Consider the following 13,840-nt stretch of genomic DNA (forward strand, 5'->3'; position numbering starts at 1 on the left):
TGCAGTTACGTAAGTACAGTGGAAGTTCTTGTGTTCACTTATAGAATACAGAGTTTCCTTTTACTCACACACTCCTTTAATGCAGTTGGACATCAATCTTTCCCGCTTAGAAAGGAGGTTTTGTTTCACTGCCAGGGGATAGAACTTCCAAAAAACACAAATGTCTTTCAGCATCATGTTGAGTAAATAATCAAGGGGGTATGAATTGGTCTCTCTCTAACTTCCTGCCTTATTTTGCTTTCAACTCATAGGTGAGTTATGAAAAGACATCTGCCCTAACGTTCTAGCCACCTAGGCAGGATGTCAGCTCCAAAGACAAGTCTCAGCTTATGGTGCTTCCCATGCTTTTTTTGTTTATCTGGTCCTGGAGTCCGCTTACAAAACATAAAGTGTAGATATGTCTGTGGACCAATTAGTGCCTTTCCATTCAATTCAAGCCATTCATAAAATTGACTCAGAAAAATAGAAAGTGGCTCTTGGTTCAGGTTTCCCCAAGCAGATCAGGTTTTATATAGGATATCACGATATTCGGTGGGGAATTGATCACAGAAAAACTGACAGCATTCTGTAGTCCAAGCCCAGAGGCAGCACAGAGTTCACCCACCCACCTACCCATCTACCTTTAATTGAACTCCTATTAAGAAGGCACTGTCAGCTCCTATGGCCCCACCAGAAACCCAGCAAGTTTGCTGAGATTGGGTCTGAGGACAATGAGTGGAGGTTCAGGATGGTGCTTCCTTCAGGCTATTCAGCAGCCAGGTATGTAGTATCAGGGATGGGGTTGGAATGGGGTCTCCCAGGACAAACCCATGTTGGGGCATGGCAACAATAAGGTGTGGGGAGGTTGGCCAGGACCAGTGGCTTTCAGTTCAGTAAAGTGTGGGGGGCCCAAAACCCTCCCAACCCAAACCAAAGTTTTCAGCTTGGTATGATTCAGAAGTCATCCATACCACACCAGGCAAGGAAAGCCCACTCCACTCAAGATGGCTCCACCAAAGCCCACCTGTGCTTCCATGAGTCTCTGGATTGTGAACTGGCCTATATGAAACTTGGTTTTTAAAAAAGTTCATTCCCTTTATCTTTTTGAAAATTCAAAAAGTATGAAAGTGTACAATGTCAAGTCTCCCTCTTACCCTGTTCCCAGCCAGCCATGCCCCTTCCCCGGAGACAGTGGCATAACAGGGTCCCATGCACATGACTGTTGGCACTGCCTTTATTCTTTGAAGGGCTCTTCCTTTATGAGCAAAAGACACTTTTTGCTGTCCTCTGGCCCCCTAAGGAAAGGCTCACATATGGCTTCCCTGCCCTGTGCAAGATTCCATGGCTCTGTCAGTTTCCTACCCTCATCCCTTGGGAAGTCCCAGGGCAGCACTCCACACATCATAGAGTAAGAGTGCATAAAACCCACCAAATGAGCTGCACAATGGCACATCTCCAGCTTCTTGTAGGTGAGAACTTCAATTCTACATTTTTTAAATTTCTTACCAAATATTAACTTAGCTCTTTCCTTGTGCAGGAATACTTGGCTAGATGCTGCAGAAAAGAAAAACCATGAGCAAGTCATGCCTTATATTCACAGGATCTTAGACCTGCATGAGGTCTAAGATTTATGATGATACAGGGAGAGGAAAAAGTATCAAGAAGGGAAGAAATGGTGGAAGGTAAGAATATAGACAAAACTTTGGGACCTGACATAGCCAGGGCTTGGGAAGGGAAGAAGAGAGAGCAAGCTTGTCCTATATTGATGCGAGCTACCCCATAACCTATAATTGCACCTTAACAGATACTTGAATGCGCCATTTCCTTCTCCACACCTGGTGAAGGTGGAGCCCAGAGGAGAGGACTCTAGAGCAGGAATTAATGGGCTCTGGCTTGGATCATGGTCAATCGAGCATGGCCCTGACATCTTCTCAGCTGGACTGTGGTCCCTTGAGGTCCAGTGTGGACAAGATGAGTGGCTGCATGCCCCATTTCTCACCATCGCCAGGCAAACAAGCATTATTTTCCCATTTCATAGACAAGGAAACAGAAGCAAGAGGTTAAGTGACTTGTCTAAGGATGCTCTCTGCTGGTTGGCACCAGGGCCATTCCAGAGCGCCACGACTGTCTGGTGATTCAGGCCCAGGCTTCTGTTTTCTTCTCTCACTGTATGAGGCTTTGTTCACCTTGATGTTTCTGGACATCCCTTTTAATTATTGAACTGAATTCGTGTAAAGTAGGGGTTTTCCATATTCTCATCTTTAACTTCAAAACCCAGGTTCCATTTCACAACTTTTCCAAATGTTGGGTTAACAAGTCATAACTACGACCCTTTTACATGTTTCTTAATCACCAATTGTGCTTCAAATGTGCTCTGAAAAACAAAGGTGCCTTTCATGTTATTCCCTGATTAAAAAAAACTTTACATTTAGTTAGAATGCTAAATTCTATAGCAATTTGTGTCCAATGGTTATAAGACTAATTCATTCTGATTTTAAAACTCATTCTCACTTAAAAATTTTAAAATGTAGCCCTCATTCCCTATAGGCTCATATACAAATATGAAAACTACATGTATATATTTATCTTTCATATATTCAATCTCAAATGGTAATGAATATTGATTATGGTTCCTGTGCTTATATATAGATGAAAGAATGTACATGATAAAACCCAAATGCTCCACGTACCAAGTTATTAAACATGCCATATACCCTGTAGTATCAAGCAGTAACTCTCACCATTCACATTTCAGTTTCCTTCAGCAGCACTGACTGCGGCTTTCTATGGGCCAGAGAGCATGTGAGGAGACTCAGGAGGCCCACCTTCCCTTCTGGACAAGTGACCGGGGGAACCTGGGCTGTTCCACTGCATGGCCTTGACGTGACACTATAGCTTCAAACTTCTTATTCTGTATGTACAAAATTTTGCAGTGATTTTAGCATAGGAGTCTGGGTAGGAGGGATCTTTCAGGACATCTTTGCAGAAAGACCTAGGACCACCATGGGAGACTCTGTGAGGCCTCCACCCCCGATTTGTTTTGGTTCTGATGGCTTCTAACCTCTGTGTTTGCCTCCACAGTACCCTCTGAAATGTTCCAGAATCCCCCATATGAGAACACACTATTCACCCAAGCACCCACCCCAAAAAGGAAAATGCTAACAACAGTGTAGCCAGCTTTTAAAACAAATAAACTAAAATCTACTCGGCAGCCTCACCCATACTTACCAGTGCCATAACAATGACATACCTAATGATGGTTAACAAATGCTTAAGGAGGAACAGAACTTTAGAGCAAGAAGGGAACCTTAGTGATGAAGAAAAGGAGCTCTAAAGAGGTGACTTCCTAAGGTTGGGACTAGAATCTAGGCCTCTGAACTTCCCACTCAGGACCAACTCGTGTATACGCTCTACATTAGTACAAATTTGATTTTTCCTCCTTTTCCAAATGCATTAGTTTCCCATTGCTGCTATAACAGATTACCACAAATTTAGTGGCTTAAAATCACCCACATTATCTCACATTTCTGGATGTCAGAAGTCTGAAATGAGTCTTATGGGGATAAACTCAAAGTGTCATCACCAGGAGGGATGGTTCCCTCTGGAGATTGTAGGGGAGAATCTGTTTCATCTTTTCCACCTTCTAGAATCTGCTTGAATCCTCTGGCTTGAGGCTGCATCACTCCAAGCTCTGCTTCCCTCAACACATCTTCTCTTCTGTTTGTGAACCTCTTCCCATCCTCTTATAAAGGTCTTGTGGTTATACTGGGCCCACTCAGATAATCCAAGATACTCTTCCCATTTCAAGGTCCTTAACCCCACCTGCAAAGTCCCCTTTGCCATGTAAGGTAGCATAGTCAGAGTTTCTGGAGAATATGAGTTGGACATCTTTGGGGGACCACAATTCAGCCTTCTGCACCAAATGAAAATAATTTCCTTCTGTTTGTTCAATCATCTGTCTGTGCTTGGAGTTTTCCTGATAAGTATCTGGCTGCAATGAACACTAAGCTAAGTTTTGGCACAAATCCACCCATGCTTATTTCCTTAGGATAAATTTTTAGAAGTGTTATTTCTGGGTCAACAGATAAGCAGGGCTTATTTTTCAGCCTTATGATAAGTATTACCAAATGGCTCTCATAAATGTTGTACAATTTATATACCCAATAAGTCTCCGACCTTATCTGCTTTGTACGCAGCTCTTATTTTTATCTTCACTAATTTGACCAATGAAAATGATATTTCATTAATTTGCATCTCTTTGATGACTAGTAAGGCTGGACATCTTTTCTATGTTTATTGGCCGTATGTAGTTTTTCTTTTGTGACTTGCCTATTCCAATAATTTGCTTATTCTCTTATTGATGTGTTAAAATTTTTGTTATTGGTGTGTGAGTTTATTTTACATATTAAGGATATAAATCCTCTTTAGGATTCAAACACTAGCAAATACGGATTTTATTTATAGTGGTTTTCAGGAGATGTTCAGAAAATTATAATTTTTATGTCTCTATTTTCCTTTATGGTTTCTGTTTTCAATGCTCTGATTAGACCTCCTTTTGTGTAAGCTATATAAATATCCACTTATTTCCTTGGAGAAATTTTATGCTTCCATTTAAAAAGTATTTCAATCACCTAGAACTTATTTTAGAATGTCATTACGTTTTTAGATCTAGATTCTTTTTAAATGTTTAACCTACCATCTCAGAATAATTTGTGACATGGTCCGCTCCTTCCCTATGGATGTGAAATGCCACTACTATCACATGTCAGCTTATGCATAACTGGGTTTCTTTTGGAGCTTGCCATGCTGGCTCATGAATGTGTCTATTCTTGTCCCAGTGTTGCAATGTTTTAATTATTTCAGTGTTTTAATGTTTATTAATATTTGGAGGTACAAATCCCTCCACATTTTACATGAGCATTTTCTTGTGCCTTAAAGGTGAACTTTAGAATCATTTAGTTAAGTTCCCCCTTATTCATCCTAATCTTGTGGAAAGAGTAACTAGAACTGCCTTGGGTTTCTAAAGTAATAATGGGAAGAACAGTTCTATAACCTTTTACTTTCCCAGGGGCACAGGTCTCTCTATTAGTCAAATAAATTACCTTAAAAGGAAATTTTATGGTATTCTTCAAACAGATTCTGACACATCTTTTAAAGATTATTTCTACTTGGTCTATAGTCTATATTTTACAACTATTTTGAAGGTGATTCTCTCCAGTATATTTTTTATTGTTACTATGATTATTGTTATTTGAGGGAGATTCTTTTAAGTGTATAATATCATTAACTATAAGCACAATGTTGTACAGCAGATCAATAAAGTTTTTCATCTTGCATAACTGGAACATTCTACCGTTTGAATAGTATAATAATTCCCCATTTTCCCCTCCTGCTCAGTATATTTTTAATTGGTTATTGATGGTTTATAGGAAAACTACTGACTGTTTTCTTACTTGCACCCTACTGGCTACTTTTAAGATTTCTAATAGGCATTTGTGGCAGTTTGTGCGTGCTTCCTTGATATATACTCATATAATTTGTAGAAATAGTGATTTATCTCTTTTCCAACCAGAGGCTCCTGAGCACTGAGGAGCCTGGCTGCCGTGGAGATCTCAGCTGAATACTGCAAAGCTGCTGCCATACCCACATGTGTGAACCTGAAGGCCCCGAGACTGGGGGAAGGAGGTGGTGTTACCAGAGCAGTATCACTGTTATCTGAAGCTTGGACACTGCTTTCCAGTTGCTGCCATAAATTATTTTTATTGTTTTTTAAAAATGAGACTTTAAGACACATATTGCTTCTCAAATAAGAGTCATTCGTAATCTTCACACTCAAGGCAGATCTCCACAGCTCCCTCCAAAATATGCTTCTACCAGAACCCTTTCTTGTTACCACCAAGTTCTTTTGCAGAAAATAGCAGAAAAGGACCTATTTCAAAGGCCATGGACAAAAAATTTTGAGCCACAGGGAAAAAAAAACAGAATACTTCATGCTATTATACCTATGAAGATACAGAAAGAGGCAAAAACTTAATATTGAACCATAACCTCAGACCTGACTCTGGCACAAACCTTTATAGGCAGACAAACCTGAGAGCAAATATTGGCTCTTTGTGACTTACTAATTCTGACCTTGGGCAAGTCACTGAAACTCTCTGGGGCTCAGTTTCCCCATGAATCAATAGGGAATGTTATAAAGGCAAAATGGGTGATATAAAGCACTTGGTATGGTGCATAGTGTTCCTTCCTTCTTTACTTCCTTCATTCATTTACTCACTCAACAAAATATCAAGTGTCTTGTATGCGTCATGCACTGTGCTGGGTACTGGGGATCCATTAATTAACTAGACAGACAAGGTCCCTGCCCTCAAGGAACTTAAGTCTAATGGGGGAGGCAGGCAAATAAGTAAATAAACAAACGAAATCATTATAGACAGCACTGGGTGCTACTAAGGAAATGCACAGAGATGTGATGAAGAGCTACTGCCAGAATCACCATGCAGGGAAAACTTCTCTGAAATGGTGAAGCACATCTGAGACCCGAAGGACATGAATGAGTCAGCCACTGGAAAAACTGGGGAAAGAGCATTCCAGGCAGAAGGAGGAGCAAGTGCAAAGCCTAGAAGTTAGAGAAGGACATGATACATCTGGGAAAAAGAAAGGAGACCAGGGAACCGGAGCATAGAAAGTAAGGAAGAAAGACGTATGAGCTACAGATGGAGTGGGAATGGGTGTTGCACCCGGCAGAGCTCTGCAGGGCAATGGAGAGCTTGGACTTTACTCTGAGAGTATGTTACTATGTATGTTCTTGTAGCTGTTGATATGAGAGATGCAGTATTGGGTTTGCCATTTAAACCAGAAGCTTACACACATTTTTAACTATTTTCTTTGCAACAAAGTATATGACATAGATCTTAACTTAGGAGGCTCATTTTAAGATTGCTAAGCATTTCTGTTCAATTCAGTGAATCTCCAAGGTCCACAACCAGACCTAACCCCATGCACAAAATAATGAAAAGCACTTTCTTCACCTACTATATGGGAGGCACTGAAATAAGAAAAGCCTGCACCAGTGGTCACTGCCTACAAGGAGCTGAGGTCCTTGAGCATCTTCTCCTTTGGGCACATTGCATCCCAGCCCTGCTAACTTCTGATTAAGAACCAGCTGTAGAAAGGAGGGCCAGGCTGGTGGGTAGGATAAGAGAAAGTGGCCTCCAGGTTTTGAAAAGACAGTGGTGGCCTGTGATCTGCTGCTTGACATAAAACTTCCACTGCCAAGAACCTTGGCCATGTCAGCCTGACCAGTAAGAATCATTTTACAGAACCTATGTCACAGCTATCCAGGCTAAGCAATTCTTTCCATCATTTTTTAAAGCTAATTCATATCAAATGCGCAAATCTGTATTTTCACAAAAGGTGTTACAGTTATTTACTTGAGGTACTCTTGCATTGTTCTGCCTTGAAAATTGTTAGATACAAGAGGAAAAATAACTAAAAACAGCTTATTCCAGCATTAACTCTTAGCTCTGCCAATGGAAGAAAGCCAATGTGGTATTTTTATAACCAAAGAAAACTGACTGTTGGTACAATTTCCAGTTTACATAACAGTAGCATTCCAAGAGCTTGTTTGTAAATCATTTGGTGAGATCTCAGAATCCACAGGAAACAGAATATTACAAAAAGTGGGTGAAAGAGCTGGAGCAGCTCATAAAAGCTGGTCTTACCTATTGCATACCTCACCTCTTAAACAGAGTGCTGCTAAATCTGCCATTCTTAACAATACCACCAGGGACAATGTTGGGCACAAATTTTCTGAGAATATGGATTCCTTATGCTGTTCAAACCATCAGCCAGCAGGCTTGGGGCTCCCCCAGGGCCCTGCCTTTCCTGGCATGGGACTAGGGTGGCAGGTGGGAAATAGGCTGCAGGAAGAGGAGGAGATGAGGTTGCAGAGGACCAGAGGTTTGAGGCACCAGTTTCAGATTAACAGAGAGTAAGGGCAACGGGGCTTGGGCTAAGGGTTTTGGAACAGGCTGGAGAGAAAAAAATCAAGACAAGGAATGAGTTTTTTCTTCTCTTTATCCCCTTTATCATCAAGTTAAGTGGAGGGGAGGGGAGGTAGAAGGGACCACCCATTTACTGACTGTAAAAGGTGGCAGGTGCAAAGGTGTGGTGGATGCTGCCCCTCCTCTCCTGGTTTTGTGTGTGGCAGTGAGATCATGTCATACATATATGACAGCTTGCACAGATCTAGTTTGCATAAAAGTCCACACCTGCCAGTGTATAATGGCCAGTATTTGTTCTATATTATAGTTGACAAATGCTTTCACATTCATTTGATCTTTACTGCCTTCAACAGACATGCAAAACCAGATTCGGTCTGTGTTAGAGTCAGGATTCAAGAGTCCTTCCCTCTTTTTCCCCTACACTTGTGGTTTTCAACCCTGGCTGCATACTAGAATCTCTGGGGGAGGTTTTAAAAATTACTGATGCCTGGATGCCATCCCCAGGCCCTGTAAATTAGAATCTCTGGGGTGGGGCCAGGACACTAGTGTTTTTAAAACTCCCCAGGTAATTCTAACGTGCAGCCATAGTTGAGAACTCTAGTTCTACTCAATGGTCCTCAAACTTACAGTGAATATGAATCACTAGGGGAGTTAAAAATGCAGATCCCCAGGCCCTACCTCTGAGATTTGCATTTGGCCTATGAAGCAGACATTCCCATTGCTTACCAGTGTACACTCACCTCTATTTCTAGGTATATAGAGGCCTTCCCGGTCTCCTTGGAGCTAGGTATGGCCATATGAGTTGTTTCAGAGAATGAAATGTGAGCACTGACAAGTAACGCATAACTAGGCGGGAGTACCCAGCTTGCTGATGGATCCCACTTGCTGATATGGAGGTCTAACCTGAACTATCAGTTTTCCTGGGGAGTATCCCAGGGCCCGCAGTGGACACAGAGTGACCGAGAGTTAAACCTGCTGTTAAGCCAGTGAAATTTTGTCACTGCAGCATAACCTAACATCTCCTGACTGAACCTTTTAGTCTGGAGTAAATCTTAATTTTTACAAGCGTTCTGGGTGATTCTTATGCCAACAGCCTATGGTCCACACTTTTAGAAGTAACCTCGATGCCATATTAACTTTCTGTACTTCGTTTCTTTATAAAGAAATAGGTGAGCTACAGAGAGCTAGTATTCACTTATTTACTCAACTTTTATTTTGTATCTATTGTGTCAGACATTGCACTAGGGGTTCATCCGTATGCAGAGCATTTTCACAAGTACAGGGACATGAGAAAGCACTCAACAGCTGGCTGCAGCACAATATTGGGGTGAGACTGAGGAAGGATGACCCTGGGGCTGGCGTTTAGGGAGAAACCCAGGATTGAAGGAAAGGATGTGAGTGAAAACAAATGTGTCGCAAGGTTCTAAAACTGTGAAATAAACATAAGCCGCATAAGTAATTCTATATATTCTAGTAGCCACCTTTAGGATAAAAAGGTGAAATTGATTTGAATAATGTATTTAATTTAACCAAATAAGGTCAAAATAGTGTTACTTCAATAAACAAGCAATACAAACATTTATCGATAAGATATTCAGTTTTAATGTACTAAGTCTTCACTATATGGTATATGGTATCTATTTTCAACACATCTCCATTGGAACTAGCCATGTGTCAAGCACTCCACAGCTGCATGTGGCTGCCATATTGGACGATGCAGTTCTAGACAGAGCTGCCAGAGGCTTCTCGGGATATCCTCTTCAAGGAGGTACCACATGCAAGTGGCCTGGGCATCAGGAACTCTTTTACTTAAAAACAAAAATATTAACTGAGAATCCTCTCTGGTCCAGATTTTTAATAGTATCAGCCTTTGAACACCAATAAAAATACACTGATATTTTAAAATATTGGTATCATCAAAGCTCTCTCCCCAAACAACATCCTGGTTCAGGGGCTACATTCACTCACAAAGTGATACTACTTAAGCAGAGTTTAAAAAAAAAAAAGTTAACTTGTAGTCTTAATGGCAAAATGTACTTTTGGAGAATTCTTGTGGCTAAATGAGTTAGTACTACTTTTTTTCCAAGAGCAACTATTTGAATAGCCCTGTAGTACCAACACTCTACCAAGGTTGATCATTTTGACTTGAAACGTGACCAGTAGGGAGGAAGAACTGCTCAACTCAGCTCCTTCTCCCAGTGCAGTAAAACAGACTGTCTGGTGCTACCTCCACTGTATCCTAAATCAAAGGGGCTCTCTCTCCTAGAAGAGCTGGCCCTGGGCACCCTTGCTCTGAGCCATTTGAGTTCTTTATACAGGAACTCCTTGTGTAGGCTTCCATATAAGCCCCCTTATCAGATGGATGGCTTGCAAATATTTTCTCCCATTCCATAGGTTGTCTCTTCACACTGTTGATTGTTTCCTTGGCTGTGCAGAAGCATTTTAATTGGGTGTAATCCTTTTCTCTATTTTGTTTTTGTTGCCTGTGCTTTTAGGGCCATCTCCAAAAAAAAAAAAAAAATTGCAGAGACTGATGTTATGGAGCTCTTTCTCTGTTTTCTTCTAGTAGTTTCACAGTTTCAGATCTTACTTTTAAGTCTTCATCCATTTTGAGTCGATTTTTGTATTTGTTATGCGATGAGGGTCTTAAGTACATGAACTCCTGCATATGTTAATTAGCTTGATTTAGCCATTCCCTAATGTATACTTATATTGGAACATGTACACCACATATATTTTTTGGTCAAAAAAATTTTAAAGAAAAAATTTTTAAAGTGCTCTTTGCTTGCAATTTTTTTTTTTTTTTTCTCCTCCAGGGAAACTTCTTCAGTGCCCTCAAGAGAGGACAGCCTGCATCCTTCCTAACACCATTTTGTTCACAAGTCTGGCAGACAGTCATTTAATTCAGGCAATGGTTTGCAGTTCTATTTGTCACCTTCACCACTGAGAAGAACCCAAGGGCAATGACTGTCCTTGGTTCATCTCTGATGCCCAGTACAGCCCTCTGCAGTAAGCCCTCCTGCTCACTCACAAAAATGCTTAAACAAGAAAGAGAGAAAGTCAACTTAAATTGGGCCAAAGAGCCCTTCAGTATAATAATACCCTGTTACTCCAGGGTACCGAAGAACTCTCTTTTTCTTTTTTTGAGCAGGTATGATTTTCTTCCACGTTGTCCCCCAGATGGTAAAGAATTTAAACTCAAATAGCTCTAGTTCCCCAATTAGGTATACTCTCCATTTAATGAGCTAATTATTTTCCATCTTTATACATTTCTAACCTGTACTCTCACTTCAATTCTTACAGCATTAGCATCAAAAGGGAAATTAGGCGCTAACTTTTCTCACATAAAGTGCTATGAATAGTCTCCATCTGTGATCATCACCTCTCCCTGAACCTTTCACACCAAAGGAGAGCAACCTGTTTGTATTTTAAAGAACAGTGTGAAAAGGGCTTCTGTGGAGCAAGCGAGCAAGTGAGAACATGACTTCCTCAAGCAAATGGTCCTGCCGTTTTCACCTCTGTGCTTGTGTGGCAGGTTCTGGGCACTTGCAGGGAGCTGAGACCTTCCTTTGCCTTCCTCTTCTGCCCTCCTGTGCCTCTGCTTCTCTGGCCTTCAGCCTTTCCACACAGCAGCCCTGGTGGTTCCCTCCAATTTATCGATGTTCCTCCTGAATCTTGTTGCTGGAATAGTGCAAAGCATTCCACGTCTCCCATAAGTAAAGGAAAGCACCGAGGGGGTGTGTTTTCTCTGCTTTGGGTGCTGTAATTCTAAAAGTAAAGCTCAGTGTTTTGGCATCTACTGGAATAGCGGGTTCCATGACCCTACTTCCCAACAGCCAAAGTGTGGCTTCCTTTGATCTGTTTTTGTTTGTTTGTTTTTGTTTTTGTTTTTGAGATGGAGTCTCACTCTATTGCCCAGGCTGGAGTGCAATGGCATGATCTAGGCTCACTGCAACCTTCGCTTCCCGGGTTCAAGTGGTTCTCATGCCTCAGCCTCCCGAGTAGCTGGGATTACAGGTGTGAGTCACCATGCCTGGCTAAGACGGGATTTTACCATGTTGGCCAGGCTGGTCTTGAACTCCTGACCTCGAGTGATCTGCTACCTTGGCCTCCCAAAGTGCTGGGATTACAGGTGTGAGCCACCACACCCAGCTGATCTGTTCTTTAAGTGTCAAAAATAACTCCTTAGTGTTGAGTTATGCGATTGATCCTGTCATGGCCCTTATGACTTTAAGCTCAAATCATGTCTCTGCCATCAATTGGCTCAGGCCATCTTGGTATTTCAGATACCATTTCTTACTTGAATGTTATTGCTTTCTGTCTTTGTAAATCTAAATGAAAAGAATTATAACAAATACTTACATAGGACTTACCTGTGTCCTATGTAAGCCTCGCCCTGTTCTAAGTGCTTTACGTATATTCTCTCATTTCATTCTCACGGAGACCCTGTGGGGTAGGTTCTGCTGTTATCTCCACATTACAGATGGGGGACGGAGGCACAGAGTGGTTAAGAAACGGAACTAGTTCAACCATTGTGGAAGTCAGTGTGGGAATTCCTCAGGGATCTAGAACTAGAAATACCATTTGACCCAGCCATCCCATTACTGGTTATATACACAAAGGATTATAAATCATGCTGCTATAAAGACACATGCACACGTATGTTTATTGCAGCACTATTCACAATAGCAAAGACTTGGAACCAACCCAAATGTCCAACAATGATAGACTGGATTAAGAAGATGTGGCACATATACACCATGGAACACTGTGCAGCCATAAAAAATGATGAGTTCATGTCCTTTGTAGGGACATGGATGAAGCTGGAAACCATCGTTCTCAGCAAACTATCACAAGGACAAAAAACCAAACACCGCATGTTCTCACTCATAGGTGGGAATTGAACAATGAGAACACATGGACACAGGAAGGGGAACATCACACACCGGGGCCTGTTGTGAGGTGGGGGGAGGGGGGAGGGATAGCATTAGGAGATATACCTAATGTAAATGACGAGTTAATGGGTGCAGCACACCAACATGGCACATGAATACATATGTAACAAACCTGCACGTTGCGCACATGTACCCTAAAACCTAAAGTATAATAATAATAATAAAAAAAAAAAAAGAAACTTGCCTAAGGTCATAGTCCCCAGGGGGCACAGTTAAGCTTTAAATCTAGGTCATCTGGCTCCTGACTTTAACCACCGTGCTATCAAATACTTACAGTTTTTATTTGTAGGCAACTTTTCATCAAGCCAAATTTAAATAATAAAAAGGCATGATTTCCTCACATGTTAATGAGAAGCGGAAATCAAGCGATCCATTTGCTCTGACCTAGAGGCCCCGTCCTTGGACATACACCCAAGGTGGCTAGCAGATGGTGAGCTCTGTGCACAGAATCAAGCTAAGGAGAGGGAAGACTGCGTTTTCATCCCCACTGACTTTGTGACTTTGGAGTCTGACAGGTTCAATCCCCTGTGCTTCATAAGCCTACTGACACAGTCATCTTCAGTCAATTCACGAAAAGACTCTTTTAGGAAACATCTATTTGTGACCAGGTTTGTGCAAAAACATTTACAATAATAAGAACCTAGACACCACAGAACAAAGTCCATCACAGGAAACAAGTCAGTGTTTGTTGAGTGGAAGAAAATGTATACAGGCTGGGCACGGGGACTCATGCCTGTAATCCCAACACTGGGAGGCCGAGGTGGGTGGATCACTTGAGCTCAGGAGTTCGAGATGAACCTGGGCAACATGGCAAAAACTCACCTCTAAAAAAACACAAAAATTAGCCTGTGTGGTGGCATGTGCCTGTAGTCCCAGCTACTTGGGAGGCTGAGTTGGGAG

At 41.6% G+C, this 13,840-nt stretch overlaps 1 protein-coding gene across 4 annotated transcripts in view, besides 1 other annotated feature; it reads right to left on the reverse strand.

Annotated features, from left to right (window-relative positions):
* Positions 1-13,840, reverse strand: part of TGFA (transforming growth factor alpha) — a 106,543-nt gene that overhangs the window by 43,197 nt on the left and 49,506 nt on the right. The window lies entirely within an intron of this gene.
* Positions 13,417-13,711: an enhancer, noted in NCBI's record as "tiled region #10182; HepG2 Activating DNase matched - State 5:Enh". NCBI's record gives its function as "activates a minimal TATA promoter and a strong SV40 promoter by Sharpr-MPRA in HepG2 cells {active_cell/tissue: HepG2}" and the evidence as "EXISTENCE:reporter gene assay evidence [ECO:0000049][PMID:27701403]".

Source organism: Homo sapiens, chromosome 2 (assembly GCF_000001405.40).
Source record: "Homo sapiens chromosome 2, GRCh38.p14 Primary Assembly".
NCBI lineage: Eukaryota > Metazoa > Chordata > Mammalia > Primates > Hominidae > Homo > Homo sapiens.